Source organism: Homo sapiens, chromosome 19, assembly GCF_000001405.40.
Source record: "Homo sapiens chromosome 19, GRCh38.p14 Primary Assembly".
In the NCBI taxonomy this organism is placed as follows: Eukaryota; Metazoa; Chordata; class Mammalia; order Primates; family Hominidae; genus Homo; species Homo sapiens.
The window spans coordinates 32,635,180-32,659,822 of NC_000019.10; the positions used below are offsets into that span (position 1 = coordinate 32,635,180).

The window sequence follows — 24,643 nt, forward strand, 5'->3', positions numbered from 1 at the left end:
CCAGAGACACCCTGGGCCCAGCAAGGCACAGCAGAGTGATTCCTCTGCAGGGCAGGAAAGCCGGCCAGGGAGTGAACTCTCAGACCAATCTGTTTCTTGCCCTGCAAGAACCAGAGGGCAGGGCAAAAACCACCGCAGGCACGGTGAGAGAAACACAAGTTCCCACAGCCTCATAGAAAACAAGTCAAACTCACAACTCTTACTCCCCAGCCTTGGAAATGAACAGAAATTCTGATCTGCACACACGCATAGGTAGAGACACAAGAGCACACACACACGCATTCTTTTTTATTTATTTATTTATTTGTAGAGACAAGGTCTCACTATGTTGCCCACACTGGTCTCCAACTCCTGGCCTCGGGTGATCCACCCGCCTCAGCCTCCCAGAGTGCTGGGATTATAGGCATGAGCCACTGCACCCAGCCCACATACATACTCTAGAATCTTGCTGATTTCCCCCTAAATATGGAAACAAGGCAGAAGAAAGAAACTTTTCAGAAGAGCCACAGCCAGCCACATCCGAGATGCGATGGATGACCCCCAATTTCACTGGCAGCTGAGTGGGGTGATTAAATCAGACTTCAGAGAAGAGCAGAGATTAATTCTTCAACAAGTACCTGAATACTGTCAACGAGTACAGCGAGATCATGATCTAAAATTTTGGTTAAAAAGATAACTGTGTTCATTCCTTGTTACCGCCAAGTCACGTGGAGGCAGAGGCTCAGGTGTGTTCAAGATTCAGCTGCGTCCGTGACCCACCGCCATAGCCAAGGAAGGCATTGTACTGCTACACCTGTGACCCACTGCCATGGCTGAGGAAGGTCTTGCACTGCTGCACCCATGACCCACAACCGTGGCTGAGGAAGACATTGCACTGCTGCACCCGTGACCCACTGCCATGGCCGAGGAAGACACTGCTGCTGGCGGTGTAATGGATGTTAACACTGATTTACAAGGGGTGCTGAAGGACGCCTTCATCCACGGTGGCCTAGCACATGGAATTCGCCAAGCTGCCAAAGCCTCAGACGACTGCTGAGCCCATCTTGGTGTGCCTGCATCCAACTGTGATAAGCCTGCATGTGCCACATTAGGGAGACCCTAGGTGCTGAACACCAGGTCAAACTAATTAAGATTGATGACAATGAGAAACGAAAGGAATGGGTAAGGCCTCTGTAAAACGACAGAGAGGGGAGACCCTATGAAGGGGCTAGCTGCAGCTATGTAGCAGTTAAGGACTTTGGCAAAGAATCTCGGGCCAAGGATGTGATTGAGGAGTGCTTCACATGCAAGAAATGAACGAATAAAATGCTGGCTCACATGCCTCAAAAAAAAAAAAAAAGATACAATTGTGTATGCACAGAAAAAAAGACAAATGCTAAAATATTAATAAGTGTCACCCCTGGCTAGTAAGTTTATGGGAAGTTTTTGTTGTCTTCACTGCCATTTTATAGACTGCAAATATTATTTGTAAGCAAATATTAGTCTTCTAATTAGGAAAAAATTAAGCTATTCTTTTGGGAAAAAAACAGTTCTCTCTCTCTCTCTATATATATATATATATTTTTTATATATATATACACATATTTGAGACAGAGTCTTGCTGTGTTGCTCAGACTAGAGTGCAGTGGTGTAACCTCAGCTCACTGCAACCTCTGCCTCCCGGATTAATGCAATTCTCCTGCCTCAGCCTCCCAAGTAGCTGGGATTACAGGCACCTGCCACCACACCCAGCTAATTCTTGTATTTTTAGTAGAGACAGGGTTTCACCATGTTGGCCAGGCTGGTCTCGAACTCCTGACCTCAGATGATCCACCTGCCTTGGCTTCCCAAAGTGCTGGGATTACAGGCGTGAGCCACCGTGCCCGGCCCAGCACACAATATAATTTCAATTATGTAAAATATACATGGGTAGGAAAAAGACTGAAAATGCATGAACGTGTCAATAACGAATGAATGGGGTGGAAATGCCTGCACCTGAGAGCACCTGGACAGGCTGATGCTGTCTCCCAGACGCTTTAGCTCATCATTATTTTGGGAGATTCTACATCAAAGTCTGACAAAGATGAATGTTCAATCCTTGGCACTCTCACCTTATAATACAGAGATCTTTTCATTTTATAGATTTCAACTTTGTGATTTCTGTATGATCACATTTTACTCATTGGTATGTAGTAAAACAGGCCAGCAGGACAACCATGGTTCAAGATTCTCACGATTCACATAGAAATATAATCACATCCCCTCGCCGACCCCAGCCAATGCTCAATAAAAACCAAGGAAACAATGGCAAGGCCACTGAGTCCTCAAATTGCACACATTAATGGTCTCACAGATGGCAGTGGCAGCCCATCGGGAGTGGCTGCTGCAAAGACGTAAGCTGCAGTGGAGGAAGCGCGGCCAGGTTTGTGCACTCTGCAGGGCCAACAGGAGCCAGGAACAGGCAGGAGCCCCCATCTCCTACTGAGCTGGCAGGGCGGGAGCCCTGCACTCCCAGGCGCAGCTGCAGCCGCCCAGCCGCAGCTCTGGATCCAGGAATCTCTGCACTCTCAGGGGCCCAGGAAGCATCCCTGCCGCCGCAGGCTCGTAAGTGCCTGCTCCCGCTCCTCCCCACTCCTGGCACCGACTTCAATTTCAGAGCAAAGCTGAGGCCAAGCCCGGGTACTGTTGCAACCCAGCCATGTGTGCACATGCTTGGTGTGACACTGACACACCAGCCTCCTGATGCCTCAGACCCCTCCAAGATTTTGGGCGCTGATGAGCATGGGAGAGTAGTCAAGGTAGGGGCTGAGGGCAGCTCAGTGCAGGCCTGCAGATGCCCCTTGGCACAAACAGCCTGGATGCACTGGCCAGCATGTTGATGGTGGCAGAAGGCAGACACGCTTCTGGGTGGAAAGGTGCAGGTGCCCAGTGAAGCCCCACCTTCAAGACAGGGACAGCCTAAAGCCTGGGGGCCGGGCTGTCAGTCCCAAGTGGAGTCCACGACCCAGACTGAGAACTCATGGTGCTTTCTCCAGGCCCACCTATGGACCAATCAGCACATACTCCCTCCCTTCTGAGCCATAAAAAACCCCGGACTCAGCCAGACTCAGACAGATGTCGGGACTACCAACTGCAGGAAGGAGCTACCTACGTCAGGCCTCTTTAACTCGTCAGGACGACCTGCCTGTGGAAAGAAGCTGCCCACTGTGGGTCTCCTGAGAGCTATTCTGCCGTTCAGTAAAGCTCCTCTCTGCCTTGCTCACCCTCCACTAGTCTACGTACCTCATTCTTCCTCGACATGGGACAAGAACTCGGGACCCACCAAATGGCAGGACTGAAAGAGCTGTAACATAAAGAGAGCTAAAACATGCTCCCGACTCACTACATTGCAGGTGACGAGAGGAGAGAAGAGCTCTGGCCCTTCAGGGAGCCCAACCTAGGAGTTCCCCGAGCCAGGGCTATGACACCCTCTTTGGGGCTCTGCAGTTCCTGGTGTCTCCAAGCTTCCAGGCCCCACTGTGTTCCCCAGTGCCCACCGTGGAAGCGGCCTACAGTACGCCTGCTCTAGCTGCAGCCTTGCATGGAGCAGGACCCTGTACAAGCAACTTGGAGCTGCCCACCCCACCTCAGTCGGCACACCTGGTTGTGTGCAGTGGCCAGACCCTGCACTTGCTCACATACCCCTCGCCACTCCACACCTGGCTCGCCCTTGGCAGGCATGGGATCCAGGCCAGTAGCACAAGCCGAGCGCAGCCTGCCAGGCCAAGAGCGTGAAATGAGCCCAGCAGGCCCGAACAAAACTCAGGCAAAGGAGCCACCAGCCACAGAGGTTTCCGGCTGGAAAAGCGACAGTCCAGGGATCCCGTGACATCACTTCTTGACTATCAAGGTCAAGAAATCCAAATTCCCTACTTCTGGCTTCCCTTTGCACCCACATGTCTTTGGAGAGGATGGGGACTAATGAAGTAGGATATTAACAATGTAAATCCCAATGATAACCCACCAATTTTTACCACCAATTGAGGGCTTGGTGTTCTCTTCACTGAGTGATTTTTAAGACTCACAGCCCTCAAACAGCTGAGGCCCCATTCCTGGGAGGCAATTTAAGAATCCGTCTGCCCACATACCAACCCCAGCACCCTATCAAGGGAACCATGATGCCCACAAAGGAAGGCCAGGGCAGGGGTGAGATCTTACAGGGGGTTTAGCAGAGAGGCTTCCTTGCCGAATATATTCAATGGCAGCTTCGAATGAGGTCAGGCAGTATCCCAGTTCATCCTTTGCCAAGCTGCTAAACCTGAAGTTTTTGATGTAACTCAAATTTGCCATCCTAATGAAAGGAAGAAAAAAGTTATGTTGTTGTCTATCCAAGTCACACTTCTGCAAAAAAAATATCATTGGCTTGGGCAACTGATCAAATATCTAGTCAGTTGGTTCGCTCAGGAAGCTACGACCACCATCCCCTGGATCTCTCTGCAGAGTGTGTGCGATTAGGAACACAAGTAAAATGACTAGCTAGTTCCCTGAAATAGTCTTTAGCAAGCTGATTACCGTAAACTGAGCTGTGGGTTCCAGGGGAGAGATTATGGGTTTTGGGGCCAGAAAGAATGGCAATCAGCTTTCTGCTCAACCACTGTCTAGACACTCATTCCAGAACAAGAAATGTAAGCTCTCCGGGCCTTGGTTTCCCCATCTGTAAGTGGATGGATGAAGCAAGGGGAGGCCCCACACCTAGCTCGTAACAGGTGTCCAATTGAAGATGGGCTTTTCCTAGAGTTACATTAGAACTACCACAGTGCAGTGCTGCCATTTTTTTTTTTTGAGACGGAGTCTCGCTATGTCGCCCAGGCTGGAGTGCGGTGGCGCGATTTCAGCTCACTGCAAGCTCCGCCTCCTGGGTTCACGCCATTCTCCTGCCTCAGCCTCCTGAGTAGCTGGGACTACAGGTGCCCACCACCATGCCCAGCTAATTTTTTTGTATTTTTTAGTAGAGACGGGGTTTCACCGTGTTAGCCAGGATGGTCTCGATCTCCTGACCTCGTGATCCGCCCGCCTTGGCCTCCCAAAGTGCTGGGATTACAGGCGTGAGCCACCGTGCCCGGCCAAGCACTGCCATTTTCAAAAGAGTATCTTAAAAGAAAATGTTACCAATTAGGGATCTCCGTTTTCACAAGCAAGTATAACAGGACTGATAGCAGATCATCAGCACACATGGTCTCCAGGTTCACTGCAAAGGGGAAACACACATTCAATGCCATCATGAGATTCAAATGGACTGACAAGCATATCAACTCCCTACCACCGCACACCTTGTGAAACCACGTATCAGGGAGATCATACACTGGGGGAGAAATGTCATTGCACAAGCTCCTTTACAGCGTCCTGATCAGATGTCAGGTCCAGGGGGAAAAGAATGCCCAGCAATTTCAGAACATGACCAAAACAAGGTATTAGTAACTCTAGCCAGATACGGCAGCACGTGCCTGTAATCCCAGTGCTTTGGGAGGCCGAGACGGGAGAATTGCTTGAGGCCAGGAGTCTGAGGCCAGCCTGGGCAATATAGCAAGACCCCCACCTCTACAAAAAAATATGAAAATTAGCCAAGGGTGGTGGTGCATGCCTGTAATCCCAGGTACTTGGGAGGCTGAGGCAAGAGGATCACTTGAGCCCAGGAGTTCAAGGATGTAGTGATCTACAAATGCACCCAGCCTGGGTGACAGAGTGAGACCCTGTCTCTTTTTTTTGTTTGTTTGTTTTTGAAACGGAGTCTCGCTCAGTCACCCAGACTGGAGTGCAGTGGCGCAATCTTGGCTCACTGCAAGCTCCGCCTCCCGGGTTCACGCCACTCTCCTGCCTCAGCCTCCTGAGCAGCTGGGACTACAGGTGCCCGCCACCATGCCCAGCTAATTTTTTTTTGCATTTTTAGTAGAGACAGGGTTTCACCGTGCTAGCCAGGATGGTCTCGATCTCCTGACCTCGTGATCTGCCCGCCTCAGCCTCCCAAAGTGCTGGGATTACAGGTGTGAGCCACCGCGCCCAGCCGACCCTGTCTCTTAAGAAAAAAAAAAAATATGTTAACTCCAAGCAGACCATGCCTTGCCACCCCCTTGGACGCTGAAAGAGCCCAGGGAGGTGGCTTCAGTGATAAAAAATGAAGATGAGCCCAGAGCCATCACCTAAAGTCTCTTTCTTCCTAAAGTCACCAAGGTCCTTCCTAAGGTCACTTCCATTTTATAGACATGGAGTCCACTGCCCATGTGGAGTTTCACTTTTTTTCCATTTTGAAATTTTAAGTAATTCATTCACATTTAAAAATTCAAACAATACAAAAGAGCAAACTGTGAATGTTCCTCCCATCCCTGCCAGCCAGTCTCTTTTCCCAGAGGCTCCTGCTGTTGCTTCCTGCACATCTGTCCAGGACAGCTATGAGCTCACCATCATATCGTGGCTAAACAGCTATCCCCCATTCTTTGATGCTGTTGGCTGGAAGTCTACCATATGCATTCCTGTTTATTTCATTCCATACACTCAGGATCATCCCTTATCTACACATACAGCTATGTCTCTTCCTTACTGACTTTTTCTTGACTTGTTTTCTTTTACTTCTTCTTTTTTTTTTTTTTTTTTGAGAAGGGGTCTCACTCTATCACCCAGGCTGTAGTGCACTGGTGTGATCATAGCTCACTGCAACCTCCAATTCCTGGCCTCAAGTGATCCTCCCACCTTGGCCTCCCAAAGCACTGGGGTTACAGAGGTGAGCCACTGCACCCAGCCCCATAAAAATCCCTTAAGACAGCATCACTCTTTGCTTTTTCATCTGGATGTAGCATCTACCCCTTGGCCAGTCCCCTTTCCAAGCACAAACCTCTCTGGCTTGGAGACTGTGTAATGAGCTGCACCACTTTTCGCAAGCAGACAAGCTTCTGCTGTGGGGAGGTGCATTTGTTCAGCTGAGCCAGCTCTCTTTTGGCACGAGGTATGTTAAAGCTGTAAAATAATTTGGAAAGTGACAACTTCAGAGCACAGTAAGAGAACCCTCTGGCCTGGATCTAAGAACACATCTCAGGATCTACACTTCTCACAACAAACCAGAAGGAATGAAACACAAAAACAGATACTGAGAAGTCATCTGACTCAAGTCAGCGGCAAAACAGAAGAGCCTTCAATCCCATTCAGGCTGCCAGGTGATAGAGTTGTACAAGAAAAGCTGAAAAAAAAAAATCCTATTCCTAGAGGGAAACAACCCAAAGAGGGTTGTGGTAGGTGAAACATTTTTGTGTCCTAATGAAACTTAAATTAGGCTCGGCGCAGTGGCTCACGCCTGTAATCCCAGCACTTGTAAACCAGGGTGGGCAGATCACTTGAGGTCAGGAGTTCAAGACCAGCCTGGCCAACATGGTGAAACCCCATCTCTTCTAAAAATACAAAAATTAGCAGGGCATGGTAGTGTGCACCTGTAATCCCGCTACTCGGGAGGCTGAGGCAGGAGAATCACTTGAACTCAGGAGGCAGAGGTTGCAGTGAGCCGAGATCACACCACTGCACTCCAGCCTGGGCGACAGAGTGAGACTTTGTCTCAAAAAGAATAAAAATTAAAGAAATGAATTAACTCCTAAGTAGGTATCTCTATGGCAAGGTTCCCTTGGGTGGGCAGGTGGGATGTCCCCTGCACGCAGAACCCACATGGGCAAATTACATGCCCACTTGGGGACCAGCTGCACAAAACCCCGTGCCCAGCGGCTCCCATCCAGCTGGCGTGCTGGTGCAGTGTGGGAGGGGGACGGCCACACACAGTCACCTATAAAGGGCAGCCCTTTATCTTTGGTTGCAAGTAACTGCGCTGCTCCTCAGAACTAACCACATCAAACCAGCGTGTCACCTCTGCCACCGAGAGGGCCTGCTTCCGGGAGAAGACAGCACCCCTGCCTCTGAGGACACCAAGCCGCTGTGGCGCAAACCCTTACCTGAACTCCGGTTTCACACCAATATCTTTCTGCTGAAGATCTTGAAGGCTTCTTGTGATTTTGTTAAAGGCCGCATCCTAACAACAGATTTTAACGAACCTTCAAATTTCTCAAAAAGCACAGAAGAAGGCTTCCATCTTGGGTGATAATAACTGAGAACCTACCTCACTTGCCTCCATGGTCCCCACGTATTTAAAGATCAGGTTGTAAATTTCATGATGGACGTATATCTGTGGAATCAACAGACCCCATTCAGGGTGTGAGCGGGCAACAGGGTGTGCCTCCCAGCCACTCCGCCCCACCCTCACCTCCACTGCCTGCTTCATCAGGTTCATCTGGGCCTCCTGCTTGGCGAGCATTTTCTAGAGGGCAAGAAAAGCACAGTGAAAGGGCTTGGATTTGCATGGGGGTGCACCACAATTCTCCCTCTCAGAAGTCCTGCTGCTTACCAGGTGAGAGTCCCTCAGAAGCTGCTGGAGGCATTTGGTGTAGAGAGCATTCGCTGAGTCCTAAACCACATAGAGCAGAGGGACAGGCCACCCTTACCAGCAAGGCCATGACGGGGGAGCCGGAGCGGGTAAGGCGCACAGAGCTTCAAGTGCTAACACAAGCTTTATGAAGTCAATTACGTGATTTTTCTCAACTTTTTTTTTAGGTGTATATGCATTAAAAGCAGGAGAAACTTCCCCTTGGGGTTAACACAGAGGATAATAATACTCATTGTTATACTTCCCCATGACTTTACCACTTGGTTTGTTTTTTCTTTTTAAGAGACAGGGTCTCACTTTGTTGCCCAGAGTAGAGTGCAGTGGTATGACTATAGCACGCTGCAGTCTCAAACTCCTGGGCTAAAGCCATCCTCCCACCTCGGCCTCCCAAGTAGCTGGGAATACACGTGCATGCCACCATGCCTGGCTAATTTTTGTATTTTCTGTAATGATGGGGTCTTTTTATGTTACCCAGGCTGGTCTTGAACTCCCAGCCTCAAGAGATCCTCCCATCTCGGCCTCCCAAAGTGCTGGGAAGACAGGCTTGTACCACCATGCCCGGTTAAACTACTTTTATAGTTAGAGAGAAACATTTTTAAAAGACTTCAAACAGTGAGGCAGCACCAGGCAGTTCCAGAGGAAACTGAGGGCTCCCAGCACCCTGCACTGAACCGAGACAGGGCACGCCAGGCAGAGGACAGCACGGCTACTGACTATGTGGTGACGGAGGCTCTTTCTCTCGCATTCTCGGAATGTTCGATGGAAAGAGGCGATGTTCCTGTCAAATCGCTCGGAGTGTCTTCCCAAGAACTCTCTCACATCTTCAATGGTTTTCAGGGAAAAGGGATCTGAGGGTGCCAAAGGCTCTTCTGAAAAAGAAACAAACAGGTCAGGCCGGCTGAAGCCTCTGCTGGTTCCTGACTCTGTCCTATCCTACAGGGCCTAGGCCCTCTGGGGAGGAGGGCAAATGTCCTTATTTCAAGACACTACACAAGAACAGCCCAGTTACAGGACACCCTGGAGTCCAGAGAGCCTGGTCCTCTCAAGGCCTCTTCCTGGGACAAAACCAAACTATCTGGGACCATGGGCAAGACCCCAATTCCTGACAATAAGAGCATCAGTGTGCATCCAGCACATTATTATCTCAATTTTCTGGGGCAAATGAAGACTTATTATTTATTAAAAATAACGAAATCTCAAAGAGGCACAATGCTGGGGCTGGGCGCTATAAGAGACAGCCCTGAAGCTGACACCCAGAGACAAAGCTGGGGCTACTGCTTTGCATAACTCATGGGGGCAACAGTCACATCCCAGGCTGATCACAGGTAGGCTGTCTATGCGAATGCTGCCTCCTGGAATTGTGCAATGCCCGACCTGTGCAACAGCAGCCCCGATCCACACCTCCTTAGCCCAGTGACTTTAAAGTTCTAGTAGGAACCACTGAAAACAATTATATAGGTCTCCATGTGGCTCTTGAATATTTTCCATGATGTTTAACCTTTTTTAAAAAAATAATTTATTGGCCGGGCGCAGCGGCTCATGCCTGTAATCCCAGCACTTTGGGAGGCTGAGGCGGGCAGATCATGAGGTCAAGGGATCAAGACCATCCTGGCCAACATGGTGAAACCCTGTCTCTACTAAAAATAAAAAAATTAGCTGGGTGTGGTGGCGGGCGCCTGTAATCCCCGCTACTCAGGAGGCTGAGACAGGAGAATCGCTTGAACCCGGGAGCTGGAGGCTGCAGTGAGCCAAGATTGCGCCACTGCACTCCAGCCTGGCAACAGAGCAAGACTCCATCTCAAAAATAATTAAATAATAATAATAATAATTTATTTTATTGTTTTTGGAGATAGGGTCTTGTTCTGTAGCCCATGCTAGAGTGCAGTGGTGTGATCATGGCTCAGTGCAGCCTTGAATTCCTAGGCTCAAGTGACCCTCCCACCTCAGCCTCTTGAGTAACTGAGACTACAGGCATGCACCACCATGCCCGGCTAATTATTTTATTTTTTTACTTTTTATTTTTATTTTTATCTTTTTTTTGAGGCGTAGTCTTACTCTGTAGCCCAGGCTGGAGTGCAGTGGTGCGATCTCGGCTCACCACAGTCTCTGCCTCCCGGGTTCAAGTGATTCTCCTGCCTCAGCCTCCTGAGTAGCTGGGATTACAGGCACGCACCACTGCACGTGGCTAATTTTTTTTGTATTTTTAGTAGAGATGGGGTTTCCCCATGTTGGTCACGCTGGTCTTGAACTCCTGACCTCAGGTAATCCGCCCACCTCGGCCTCCCAAAGTGCTAGGATTACAAGCGTGAGCCACCACGCCCAGCCTACTTTTTATTTTTGAGACAGAGTCTCACTCTGTCACCCAGGATCGAGTACAGAGGCGTGATCTCAGCTTACTGCAACCTCCACTTTCTGGGTTCAAGCAATTCTCCTACCTCAGCCTCCCGAGTAGCTGGGATTACAGGTGCATGCCACCACACCTAGCTAATTTTTGTATTTTTAGTAGAGATGGGGTTTCACCACATTGGCCAGGCTGATCTTGAACTCCTGACCTCAAGTAATCTGCCTGCCTCAGCCTCCCAAAGTGCTGGGATTACAGGCGTGAGCCACTGCGCCCGGCTTGATTTTTTTAATTTTTTTATAGAGACAGGGTCTCACTATGTTTCCAGGCTAGTTTTGAACTCCTGGCCTCAAGTGATCCTTGTGCCTCGGCCTCCCAAAGTGCAGGGATTACAGGCGCGAGCCACCATACCCGGCCTTGTTTAACCTTTCAACAGCTAAGTCAGGAACAAGTTCAACAAACACATTTTTCTAAAACAGGAGAAAAAGGTTTTTTCTCCCAGAATACCTGAACTCTCTCTCTTTTCCAAAGGATGGGCTATACACAGGATGCTGAAACTCTCTTCTTTTTCATTGTAGAAAGTTTCTTCAAAGAGAATGGGCACTGAGAGAAGACAGGCAAAACCAGCTCCTAATTTAATCCTGTTCCCTTGAATAAAGACATCCTGGAAACAAGAAAGCCATCACTGCACCAGCAGCCGGGGCAACCACATCCCACTCTCAGCCTGGCCCCCGATGCAGCACTTAACCAGACCCTACGGCCTTCACCCCATTGTGGGTTTGCTGGGGCACAAATACTCTCCTGTTTTGCTCATTTTGATACTAAAATGTTTCCTCTTTGTTGGCCTAGTAGCTATGGCTGCAAGATACCTGAATCATTTCTATTTTCTTTTGAGACAGAGTCTTACTCCATCACCCAGGCTGGAGTGCAGTGGTGCGACCTCGGCTCACTGCAACCTCCGCCTCCCAGGGTCAAGCAATTCTCCTGACTCAGCCTCCTGAGTACGTGGCACTACAGGCACCCACCACCACACCCAGCTAATTTTTGTATTTTTAGTAGAGACACAGTTTTGTCATGTTGGCCAGGCTGCTCTTGAACTCCCAGCCTCAGGTGATCCGCCCGCCTTGGCCTCCTGGAGTGCTGGGATTACAGGCGTGAGCCACCACACCTGGCCCACACGATGCATTTGTTCATCTTTTCAGTTTCCTTTATTTGGAACAGTGCCTCGGTCTTTCTTTGCCTTTCACGACATTGACATTTTTGTTGCGTATCGCAGACTCTCCCTCCGTGTGTTTGGGAGGGTTTGTCTGATGTTTCCTGACAATTAGATTACGGTTTTACAGTTACACGTTTCTGATAGGAATGCCCTGAAAGGGATGTTTTATCTCCCTCTGTGTATCCTGTTGGAAGGCACATGATGTCAGCTTTTTTCACTGTTGATGTTAACCATGGGGTATGTGTCGTTTTGTTTTGTTTTGCTTTTAAAGCGGAAGCAGGTAGGTTCTGAGAGGGGGAGATTTTATTCCCATTCAGGAATGGCCCTGTTTTTCCCGGCATCCCCATAGTCAGGGAAGCCCGGCCACAGTGTCCTCACTGGGGCAGGGGCTGTGTTCAGATGCGGCAGCTGAGGTTTGTGGCGCTGTGACAGGGAGAGGAAGCACGGGGTTGTCAGTGCATCTGCTCTGCCCTGTGGCTCACAAGACACACTGCTGTTTTCCTGCTAGAGATCTGCTCACCCCAGCTGTCAGTCAGCTTAGTTGATTTGTTCTCTTTTGGACACCTAGATCTACAAAAAGGACAGGAGTCGGGCTTTGCGCAGCTGGTCTGCCCCCAGCACCCGGCCATGACCACAGTAAGCCATGCAGGGAGTAGCAGGTGGGATTCAGCCCTGGCCACACTGCAGCACAAGATTACTTCCATCTCTTAGATAGGGAGAGCTTTCTTACCTTTTCTTTTCACAAAGAACACAGAATTTCTTCTCCTAAAGAAACAGCTCAATGTTTTTTCTGTTGCAACATTTAAAAAGGATCCAGGCCGGGTGCAGTGGCTCATGCCTGTAATCCAAGCACTTTCGGAGACCAAGGTGGGTGGATCATTTGAGGTCAGGAGTTTGAGACCAGCCTGGCTAATATGGTGAAACCCCGTCTCTATTAAAAATACAAAAATTATCCGGGCATGGTGGCGAGTGCTTGCAGTCCCAGACACTCAGGAGGCTGAGGCAGGAGAATCACTTGAACCTGGGAGGCGCAGGTTGCAGTGAGCTGAGATCAAGCTACTGCACTCCAGCCTGGGTGACAGAGTGAGACTCCGCCTCAAAAGAAAAAAAAAATGTAGTGTGTGATTCTAGAGCTAAGAAGAAGTTTTTTTTGCTATGAAAGATATAATTGGTATAATCAGCACAGTCTGTATGAGGACAATATGTTGGAGGACATTCTATCAATGCTAAATTATCTGAGTGTGATCATTGCGTTGTGGTTACATAAGAGAATGCCTGTTCTTGGGAAATACACACTGAGCTGTCTTGGGCTAAAGGGCACAGTGCCTGCAACTTACTCTCAAAAGATTCAGGCCAGGCGCGGTGGCGCACGCCTGTAATCCCAGCACTTTGGGAGGCCGAGGCGGGTGGATCATGAGGTGAGGAGATCGAGACCATACTGGCTAACATGGTGAAACCTCGTCTCTACTAAAAATACAAAAAATTAGCTGGGCATGGTGGCGGGTGCCCGTAGTCCCAGCTACTCGGGAGGCTGAGGCAGGAGAATGGCGTGAACCTGGGAGGCGGAGCTCGCAGTGAGCTGTGATAGCGCCACTGCACTCCAGCCTGGTGACAGAGCAAGATTCCATCTCAAAAAAAAAAAAAAAGATTCAAAATAATAATAATATGTGTTGAGAGACAGCGATAAAACCAATGTGGCAAGAATGTTAACAGCTTGGGGGGAAGCACATTTAAGAGTTTTTTCAACTTTACTAAAACATTTGAAATTATTTCAAAACAAAAAGATTGTTTTTTGGGTTTGTTTTTTTTTTTTTTTTGAGACAGGGTCTCACTCTGTTGCCCAGGCTACAGTGTGGTGACACAATCATGGCTTACTGCAAGCTCAAACTCCTCAGCTTAAGCAATTCTCCCACCTGTGCCTTCCAAGTAGCTAGGACTAGAAGCACGCACCATCACGCCTGGCTAATTTTTTTATTTTTATTTTTGGCAGAGATGGGGTCTCGTTATGTTTTCCAGGCTGGTCTCAAACTCCTGGCCTCAAGTGATTCTCCTGCCTCGGCCCCCCAAAGTGCTAGAATTATAGGCGTAGGCCACCATGTCCAGCTGAAACAAAAAGCTTTTAAAAACTAAAATATTCATCCCTGATGTCCTATTCGGGACCAAGACACTGACAAGCTTTTCACGGCACTGGGATAAAACAACTTCCTTTGGCTCGGACATCAGCAAGGAGGAGGTGTTCCAGCGACACACGGCAGAAACCCCATCACGGGATCAGAGAGAGATGCTTGGCACCTCCCGGCCTCCAAGACAGCAGCTGGGGTCCAGCTTACCATCACTACCTCCCTTTCCTCCACCACAAAGGCAGGGTCCCTCCAGCCCCCCACGGGGCTGCAGTGTGTGTCAAATGCCACCATTGCCAGTAGCTGTGAAAGGCTGAGAACGGGACTCTCTTCCTCCCCTCTGGCCCCAAACACCGAGTAGGTGACCCTGGCTGATCCACCAAGAAATGAATACCTTTCCATTTAAGGTCTGAAAATGCTCTTCCACAGGTATCAAAATGTAGGACTCAAACTGACAAGTAGACTGGATGCTGCTCGACAGGCTTCCTTTGCAGGGTACTAAGACCTGGAAAAAACAATTCGGGGCAACATTAGACAGACGTGCCATTTACCACCTCAGCAGAACAAGGTGTCCCCAAAGGCGCTCCAGCTGGACACACAGCGGGACCTGCTGGCAGAGAGAACGCCCGAGGTCCCTTGCCAACACGGCCACAGTGGCTGCCAGCTGAGGTGATCTGCTGCTGCTGTTGTTGTTGTTGTTGCTGTTGTGATGGAATCAGCCTCACCCCACCACAGGCAGAGGGAGGAGGCGAACAGTACAAATCCTTCTCCACCTTCAGATGTGGAGGCTGACGGCTCCTTCCTACAATCGCTGGGTCCCCCCCAGGCTAGTGGCCCCAGGCTCCCTCTCTATTCTTAACAGCACAGTTATAAGGACCCAGGGGCTCAGGGACAAGCCCAGATGAAGAGAGGAGCATTTGGAAAGTACAGAAAAGGGAAGCTAAAAAATCACACTTTCTCCCACCATTCAAAAAAGAAACATGGCCAGGCGTGGTGGCTCATGCCTATAATCGTAGCACTTTGAGAGGCCAAGGCAGGCGGATCACTTGAGGTCAGGAGTTTGAGACCAGCCTGGCCAACATGGCAAAACCCTGGCTCTACTAAAAATACAAAAATTAGCCGGGGGTGGTGGCGCACGCCTGTAATGCCAGCACTTTGGGAGGCTGAGGCAGGCAGATCACTTGAGGTCAGCAGTTTGAGACCAGCCTGGTCAACATGGTGAAACTCTGTCTCTACTAAAAACACAAAAATTAGCCAGGTATGGTGGCATGTGCCTGTAATCCCAGCTACTCGGGAGGTTGTGCTTCAGCCCAGGAGGCAGAGGTTGCAGTGAGTTGAGATCACATGATTGCACTACTCCAGCCTGGGCTGCAGAGCAAGACTCTGTCTTTAAAAAAAAAAAAAAAAAAAAGAACACTTCACATGGATGATGGTTTCCTTCTATTCTTTTCTTTACGCTTTTATTTATTTTTTTTTTTTGGAGACAGTGTCTTGCTCTCTCACCGAGGCTGGAGTGCAGTGGCGCAATCATAGCTCACTGCACCCTCAACCTCTGGGCTCAAGCCATCCTCCTGCCTCAGCCTCGTAAGTAACTGGGACAACAGGTGCACACAACCATGACCAGCATTTTTTTTTTAAGTAGAGATGAGATCTCACTATTTTGTCCAAGCTGGTCTTGAATCCCTGGCCTCAAGCGATCCTTCCACCTTGGCCTCCCAAAGTGCTGGGATGACAGTCATGAGCCACTGTGCCTGGTCCATTGTATTATTCTTTGTTTGAAATTAAACATAATAATCTGAAATTTTAATAAAAAATTAAAATAAAGGGAGGCCCTTAGATGTTAGGCTAGAAGAAATGACCTCAAGGCTCCCAAGTGGCCTCACCACTGCAGTTGGCAGACAAAGAAAGAAGATCCTAGAGGCCAAAGTGGGCCACAGGCAATGGGATCTAAAGAGCCAGTCCTCGGGTATTTAATGCTTGAAGTCAGAGATGGCCCCCCCTCCAGCTGCAGCATGAAGGACTCACACCATCCCATTCAAGGAAGGGCCGTGGCTGGAGGGCCTTCATGTGGCCTCTGGGAAGCAGGAACTTCTTTTTTTTTGAGACAGATCTCGCTCTGTTGCCCAGGCTGGAGTGCAGTGGCGTGATCTCGGCTCACTGCAAGTTCCGCCTCCCGGATTCACACGATTCTCCTGCCTCAGTCTCCCAAGTAGCTGGGACTACAGGCGTCCGCCACCACACCCGGCTAATTTTTTTGTATTTTTAGTAGAGACGGGGTTTCACCGTGTTCACCAGGATGGTCTCGATCTCCTGACCTTGTGATCTGCCCACCTCAGCCTCTCAAAGTGCTGCGATTACAGGTGTGAGCCACCACGCCTGGCCTCGAAGCAGGAACTTCTAAGGGGCCTCAGAGAACTCTGCCCCACTGTGCCCACATGCTGCCCGCTTGTTTGCATCACCTTCTCCGCCTCCCTGACTTGCATAATGCACGTCTGGCCCCATTCACTGCATCCCCACTGTCAAGCACACTGCTGGACACGAGGCAGGTGCCCAGTGCATGTTTACTGGGTAAATCGGGGGCCCTCAGGACCAACCCTTCCCCCAACTAGTTTTCTGGCAGACATAAAAAGGAGCTCTAGTTCCTCCTATGCCAAGAAAGAGAGAGGCCCCTGCTGCCCAGAGCATTTCATAGCAACCAGAAGCCAACGCTGGGCTCCCTGGCTCCACCCACCATCCCCACAGCAATCCTGCTGAGACCGGGGAGGAGTTGCCTGGGATAGGGGGTAGAGAGCTAGGCCAACGGCCTCCAGGCTATCCCTTAGGGGGCTTCAGACTACTTCTGGAGTAGCTGTGGAGTTTTTACTGCTGGCAAAGACTTTCCAGAGTTACCGGCATAGACGAAGTTCAGAGTTACTGCGTTGACCAGAAGGTGGGGACCCAGAAATTTCAAGGCTTAACCAAAAAATGGTTTATTCTAGCCCCTTTAGAAAGAATTTTTTAAATCACAGTAATTAAAGAAAGGCCATGTGTGGTGGCTCACGCCTGTAATTCCAACACTTTGGGAGGCTGAGGCAGGTGGATCACCTGAGGTCAGGAGTTTGAGACCAGCCTGGCCAATACGGTGAAACCACGTCTCTACTACTAAAAATACAAAAATTAGCCAGGCGCGGTGGCAACCGCTTGTAATCCCAGTTATTCAGGTGGCTGAGGCCGGGAGGCAGAGGTTGCAGTGAGCCGAGATCGCACCACTGCATTCCAGCCTGGGCTACAAGAGCGAAACTCCATCCCGGGGGTAGGGTGTGGGGTTGGGGGAAAGAAAGTCCTGCAGGAGCTGCATTTTATGAGGAAAAACAAAAGGAGACAGGTGAGGTGGCTCACGCCTGTAATCACAGCACTTTGGGAGGCTGAGGCGGGTGGATCACTTGAGTCCAGGAGTTCGAGACCAGCCTGGGCGACAGGGCAAAACCCTGTCTCTACAAAAAATACAAAAATTAGCCAGGCGTGGTGGTGCACGCCTGTAGTCCCAGCTACCTAGGAGACTAAGACAGGAGGATCACTTGAGTCCAGGAGGTGGAGGTTGCAGTGAGCCAAGATCACGCCACTATACTCCAGTGGGAGTGACAGATCAAGACCCCATTTCAAAAGAAAGAAAGAAGAAAAGAAAAGTCAAATAAAAGGCAAGAATCTGCCTGAGTGGCACCTACTCCAGGGCACTCTCCTGCTTCTTCCCCAGGCTGGATTAAGCACTCCACAACTGCCCACGCTGCCTTCTGTCCTGATATTCCTCTGGCCTGCAAATGGCCTGTTCTGGAATTCCCTGAAGGCGTGCCAAGTTCCCCATTGATCGTGTAACCCTGAAACCTGGCACGGTGCCTGGCGTGGAGTGGATGGCCACGGCTTGTTGGAAGCATCTATACTAAATAAATTCTGAGAACTGGAGCAGGGGTCTCAGCGCCCTTAGCTCGGATGAAAGTTAGTTCCTGGGGCTTAGAAGACATGCTGCTAGGCTCCCAGACTAGGCCCCCGGAGCCTACTTACCCCATTAAATCAGACAACTCAATAAAAGAACCAAGTTCAATCTCCTTTGAAATTTTTGTTTTTCCTGTAGGCAAAGGGGCCAGTCTCCTGGTGCACCTGGGAAACCTGGAGGACTTTCAACTCTGCACTAAAGCCCCAGGGACGCAGACCTGCCCAGCCTGCTCTGAGGACGCCACAGGTGTGTAATTAGCCGGATAGTTGTAAGCACAGAGGTGACTTTTAGAAGCAGTGGGGTTGTCACAGGCCTCTGAAATTGAAATTTGAAATCTGGGTGAGCACAGGAGAAGGCGCTTCCACTGTCCAATCAGATAGCAGAGGAGGGCAGGAAGGAGACACCTGCCTGGATGTGGGGGCATCCCCACAAAAGGAGCACCTGCGAAGGAAGGCGCTTCGAGGCGTGGCGTGGCGGGGGCGGGGACGGGGTGGGGGTGGGGAGGGAAGGAGCAGTCAAGCTGCACCCTCAGCTGCCCCACACACACTGCTGCAGGGCCACATGGAGATGAGGCGGCCCAGCAGCGTGCACGCAGGGAGAAGCGTGGTGCGGTTCACTCTGCGGGAGACACATGGTTTTTTTTGTTTGTTTTTGTTTTTTTGAGACAGAGTCTCGTTCTGCTGCCCAGGCTGGAGTGCAGTGGCGTGATCTCAGCTCACTGCAACCTCCGCCTCCCGGGTTCACGCGATTCTCCTGCCTCAGCCTCCCCAGTAGCTGGGATTATAGGCATCTGCCACCACGCACGGCTAATTTTTTGTATTTTTAGTAGAGATAGGGTTTCACTATGTTGGCCAGACTGGTCTCAAACTCCTGACCTAGTGATCCGCCTGCCTCGGCCTCCCAAAGTGCTGGGATTACAGGCGTGAGCCACCATGCCTGGCCAAGACATGTTTTTAAGTGATTTCACATTTTTTGGAGCCTGATAAAGGACTCTGATCTCCAGGGCAGACTCAAGGGCAGTCAAACTTGGTACAAGGTTATGACCAGCCTGGGCAACATAGTGAGACCCCATCTCTACCAAAATATTAAAAATGAAATAAAGTTGGTACAATGTCCAAACTTCATGGAAAGATATTTGGCATTCAACTGCTGAGGCCACAGGGATCCCTTAGAGGTGACAGAAAGGATGGCATTTTCCTGGAGACCATCGAGATATTCGACTTTTTCTTTCAATCTATGAACATAGGTAGAGCACAACTGCGGACTGGACAGGTGTGGGTCCATGTCCCTCCTCACACGGACAAGAGGGGGCCGGCATGGGCCAGCAAACCTGACCAGTGTGACAGTGACAGCAGCTCCTGCACTCTGCTGATTTCTGCTGAGATGCTGGCCTCCCTGATTCTTTTTTTCTTTTTTTTTAGAGATGGTGTCTCACTATGTTGCCCAGGCTGGAGTGCAGTGGCTATTTAGAGGTGCAATCCCACTGCTGATCAGCACGGGAGGGTTTTTTGTTTGTTTTGTTTGTTTGTTTGTTTGTTTTTTGAGATAGAGTCTTGCTCTGTCACCTGGGCTGGAGTGCAGTGGCGCAATCTCAGCTCATTGCAACCTCTGCCTCCAAGGTACAATAGATTCTCATGCCTCAGCCATCCAAGCAGCTGGGATTACAGGTACGCACCACCACACCTGGCTAATTTGTGTATTTTTAGTAGATATGGGGTTTCACCATGTTGGCCAGTCTGGTCTTGAACTCCTGACCTCAAATGATCCGCCTGCCTTGGCCTCCCAAAGTGCTGGGATTACAGGCATGAGCCACTGTGCCTGGCAAAGCACAGGAGTTTTGACCTGCTCTATTTCCAGCATGGCAGTGTTCACCCCTCCTTGGGCAACATGGTGGTCCCCCATTCCTGGGAGGTCACCATATTGATGCCAAACTTAGTGTGGAGATGCAATCAGCATAGCTCACGACATCCCAGAGCTCCTGGGCTCCAGCGATCCTCCTGCCTCAGCCTCCTGAGTAGCTGGGACTACAGGCCTGCACCAACATGCCTGGCAACCTCACTGATTCAAGTCCACCAAACAAGGCTGAGGAAGACAAGAGGCTCACTGCTGCCCCATGTGGACCCCAGCAGTTCCTTGTGGATGCCTTGGATCTCAGGAGGAGCTGGACTGAGGGTCTGGGGTTCTGTGGGGCAACCCTGGATGGCACAGCCTAAGAAGAATCTCCATTCTCCGGTGTCCCTGAAAGGAAGGTGACAAGGCAGAAAAGTTCATTCAAAATCCCCCTTTTGCTAAAGTGGGCTTGAGTGGGATCCCATGACTTGTAGCTGAAAAGCACTTAGTTGGCCAGGCATGGTGGCTCATACCTGTAATCCCAGCACTTTGGGAGGCCAAGGCAGGAGGATCGCCTGAGGTCAGGAGTTCAAGGCCAGCCTGGGCAAGAAATTGAGAACGCCGTCTCTACAAAAATTACAAAAGTTAGGCCGGACACAGTGGCTCACGCCTGTAATTCCAGCACTTTGGGAGGCCAAGGCAGATGGATCACTTGAGGTCAGGAGTTCGAGACCAGCCTGCTCAACATAGTGAAACCCCATCTCTACTAAAAATACAAACATCAGTCAGGCATGGTGGTGGGTGTCTGTAATCCCAGCTACTTGGTAGGCCGAAGCAGGAGAATCGCTTGAACCCAGGAGGCAGAGGTTGCAGCAAGCCCAGATAGAGCCACTATACTCCAGCCTGGGCAACACAGTGAGACTCTGTTTCAAAAAAAAAAGAAGAAAAGAAAGAAAAGAAAGAAAAGAAAGAAAAGAAAGAAAGAAAGAAAGAAAGAAAGAAAGAAAGAAAGAAAGAAAGAAAAGAAAAGAAAAGAAAAGAAAAGAAAAGAAAAAGAAAAGCCTGAAGTGGCAGCTGCCAGGCTCACTAACACCATGCTGAGCAAGATAGAGCTTCCCCAAAGAGCTTCCACAGAAATAACTATGCCACAGTGTGACAGTTCTAAAAAGCTGGATAAAGATATATATGAAAATATGCACTTGTCTAGACAGTAGTTTAAAATATCATACAACGAAGACAGGAAGAGAGGAAATATTCCCGCAGTACGGCCAGGCCCTCCCTGATCCATGCCCACCTTGCGTCCCGTACTTTTCCTCTGCGACACTCACCACCACCGTAATTAGTATGCACTCGCTCAGTGAATGACCATCTTTCGCACTAGAATTTAAGCTCCATGAGGGTAAAGATGGTGATCTAGGGCCAGGCGTGACAGCTCATGCCTGTAATCCCAGCACTTTGGGAGGCTGAAGCAGGAGGATCACTTGAGGCCAGGAGTTCAAGAACAACCTGGGCAACATAGTGAGACCCCATCTCTACAAAAAATAAAAACCAGCCAGGTGTGGTGGCACATGCTTGTAGTCCCAGCTACTTGGGAGGCTGAGGCAGAAGGACTGCTTGAGTCTAGAGGTTTGAGGCTGCAGTGAGCCGTGTTCATGTCACTGTATTCTAGCCCAGGCTGGGGGACAAAGCAAGACCTTATCTCAAAAAAAAAAAAAAAGAGTGATGTGTGTTTCTGTTTCTTGGTGAATCCTCACCATCAAGCAAAGTATCTTGTATACAGCAGCTTTTAATAATTGCTGTGAAATGAAGAGATGACAGTGAATGTCTTTGGTGAATTTTATGAGATTTTTATTTGGAAAGAGCTATATATTCTAATTTTTAAAATAATGAACTTTTTGGCTTCTAAAATCTAAAGTAAGAAGATTGTGGTGAAGAAATATGAATCACAAAACTAATCATAAAAACTGGAAAAGATGTCAAGAAACCCAGCTTCTCTTTGGGAGATGGAGGTGGGCGGATAACTTGAGGCCAGGAGTTCAAGACCAGCTGGGACAACACGGTGAAACCCTGTCCCTACTAAAAATACAAAAATTAGGCCAGGTGTGGTGGCTCACACCTGTAATTCCAGCACGCTGGGGGGCCGAGGCGGGTGGATCACGAGGTCAGGAGATCGAGACCATCCTGGCCAACATGGTGAAACCCTGTCTCCACTAAAAATACAAAAATTAGTTGGGTGTGGTGGCACACACCTGTAGTCCCAGCTACTCAGGAGACTCAGGCAGGAAAATCGCTTGAACCCCGGAGGTGGAGGTTGCAGTGAGTCGAGATTGCGCCACTGCACTCTAGCCTGGGTGACAGAGCAAGGCTCTGTCTCAAAAAAAAAAAAAAAATTAGCCAGGCATGGTGGTTTGTGCCTGTAATCCCGGCTACTCAGGAGGCCGAGGCAAATCACTTGAACCCGGGAGGCAGAGGTTGCAGAGAGTCGAGATTGCGCCACTGCACTCCAGCCTGAGCAACAGAGTGAGACTCTGTCTCAAAAAAAAAAAAAAGAAACCCAGTTTCTGATGGCAGAGCTTGGCCTGGGCAAAATCAAAGTCAAGTCCAGGCCAGACACAGTGGCTCACGCCTGTAATCCCAGCACTTTGGGAGGCCGAGGTGGGCAGATCACCTGAGGCCGGGAGTTCGGGACCAGCCTGGCCAACATGGGTGAAACTCCATCTCTAGTAAAAACACAAAAATTAGCTGGACGTGGTTGCACACACCTGCAATCCCAGATACTTGGGAGGCCGAGGCAGGAGAATCGCTTGAACCTGGGAGACAGAGGTTGCTGTGAGCTGAGATCACGCCACCACACTCCAGCCTGGGTGACAGAGCAAGACTCTGTCTCAAAAAAATTTAATAAATAAAAATAAAAATAAATGAAAGTCAATTCCGGCGTCCGAGAGGCCGCTGAGAACCTGAAGCCACACTCAGCTAACCTGACTTCTCCTTCAGTTCAAACCCTCAGGCACCTCACATATCTAAGTAAAGTCGCCCCACGGGATAAGAGAAGTGGACATCCATTTGAGAGAGTAGGGGACAACAGACAAAAAGAAGACGGAAGACTCCTGAAGCAGAGGCCACAGATGACACAAATGCACCCGGGACACTGTGTCCCCCAGTGCCGTCTAAGTAGGATGCCCGCCAAGTTCACTGACCTGAGAACTGGAAAGACCCACAATGTGGGGCCCGCCCCCGTCCAGGCAGATGCCCCCACCATGACAGGCGACAGCGTCTCCTGCCTGCTTCTCATTCCTGTTACCTGGCTGCCCCTGAAGGCTTCTGAGGTTGTGGCCTCTACCAGAAAAGTTCTTTCATCATGGTGCTTTCCCTTTGGAAAAACCTTTCAAAGCAGTGTATGAATGTGTTTACTCGGTCCCTTATTCTATGAGGGTGAGCACCCACCTCCCAGACAGACCAGGACTCGTAAGGCCCCAGGGAGCACAACTCATTTTAGCCCTGGAGAAGCCTCCATAGGCAAGAGAGAAACGAGAGCACCGCAGCGTGAGACCAAGTGTCACTGGGGGTGCTCCACGAAAGGGCACAGTTAGCCACAGGCGGGGGCCAGGAGTTCAGAGAAAGTATTACAGCCTGGACTGCAGTCCCAGAAGGCTTCCTGGAGGGAGCGGCTCATGGGGGCCCCTCGCTGCTCACTCACAGACCAAGCACACTGCTGGGAGCTTGTTAAGCTGAGTTTATAACAAACTCCCTCCAAACTGAGCCTTAGTCTACCACGTCTCTGGAACCATTCATGCCTCAGGACAACCCCGAGGCTCAGTGCACTTACAATGCCATGGATTTGGGCCACTTTGCTGCACAAGTCAGGGCGGCACTTTTGCAGAGCCAGATAGAAAGGATTTTTCAGGAGGTCTTCATCATACAGAGCCATATGGACTTCAGATGGGTCAGAGCAAATCTCCTGCAATAAGGGAGGGAAAAGCAGTGAATAGCCATTTTCGAGTTTACGTAACACATGAAAGTCTGCATCTGATGCATCTGGCATTTTCTTTTTCTTTTTTTTTTTTTTTTTGAGACAGAGTCTCACTCTGTCGCCCAGGCTGGAGCGCGGCTCAGCCTCGGGAGTAGCTGGGACTACAGGCGCCCACCACCACACCCGCGAATTTTTGTATTTTTAGTAAAGACAGGGTTTTGCCATGTTGGCCAGGCTGGTCTTGAACTCCTGACCAGCAGGTGATCTGCCCGCCTCAGCCTCCCAAAGTGCTGGGATTACAGGCATGAGCTGTCACACCCGACCTGCATCTGGCAATTTCTAAAGAGTATCCTCCAAATAAAAAAGGATTCATGACGTGCCATTTTTTTCTCCCACAGACTCACTCCACCAGGAAATCTCAAATACAACCCACTAATTCCAAGATGACCCGTTTATTGGCTAACGTGTAAATTATGCTCAGAAAATCTTGTTAAACTCCAAGTCTTGGCTAAAGTATAAATGGCTATTTTTAGAATATCCTACATGACCAAAATTATGACATTCTCAAGATACTCATTTATTTTTAATGAAATATTTTAGCACATGGAAAAGTACTGAGTAATAATGCAAACCTAGCACCAGAATTAAGGAATCGTCACATTTTGCCATGTTTGCCTCAGATTTTCTTTTAAGAAATAAAGTGGAAGCCAGGTGTGGTGGTTCATGCCTGTCATCCCAGCACTTTGGGAGCCTGAGGTAGGAGGA

General features: G+C 49.6%; 1 protein-coding gene and 2 pseudogenes across 1 annotated transcript in view, besides 1 other annotated feature; 1 reads left to right on the forward strand and 2 right to left on the reverse strand.

The window, feature by feature from the left end:
• Positions 1-24,643, reverse strand: part of ANKRD27 (ankyrin repeat domain 27) — a 78,175-nt gene that overhangs the window by 38,174 nt on the left and 15,358 nt on the right. The window contains exons 2-12 of the mRNA NM_032139.3: positions 23,735-23,866; positions 14,503-14,613; positions 11,280-11,436; positions 9,146-9,300; positions 8,393-8,452; positions 8,252-8,305; positions 8,108-8,173; positions 7,944-8,020; positions 6,845-6,966; positions 5,128-5,206; positions 4,177-4,309 (exon numbers count right to left, since the gene is read on the reverse strand). Of these exons, the coding sequence (NP_115515.2) occupies positions 4,177-4,309; positions 5,128-5,206; positions 6,845-6,966; positions 7,944-8,020; positions 8,108-8,173; positions 8,252-8,305; positions 8,393-8,452; positions 9,146-9,300; positions 11,280-11,436; positions 14,503-14,613; positions 23,735-23,836 (1,116 nt within the window). The 5' untranslated portion in view covers positions 23,837-23,866. The remainder of the gene's footprint in view (positions 1-4,176; positions 4,310-5,127; positions 5,207-6,844; positions 6,967-7,943; positions 8,021-8,107; positions 8,174-8,251; positions 8,306-8,392; positions 8,453-9,145; positions 9,301-11,279; positions 11,437-14,502; positions 14,614-23,734; positions 23,867-24,643) is intronic.
• Positions 899-1,296, forward strand: RPS12P31 (ribosomal protein S12 pseudogene 31; annotated as a pseudogene).
• Positions 14,280-14,781: an enhancer, noted in NCBI's record as "H3K4me1 hESC enhancer chr19:33140365-33140866 (GRCh37/hg19 assembly coordinates)". NCBI's record gives its function as "activates a minimal SCP1, AML or CMV promoter by ChIP-STARR-seq in naive H9 embryonic stem cells {active_cell/tissue: H9 hESC(naive)}" and the evidence as "EXISTENCE:reporter gene assay evidence [ECO:0000049][PMID:30033119]".
• Positions 19,837-20,129, reverse strand: RN7SL789P (RNA, 7SL, cytoplasmic 789, pseudogene; annotated as a pseudogene).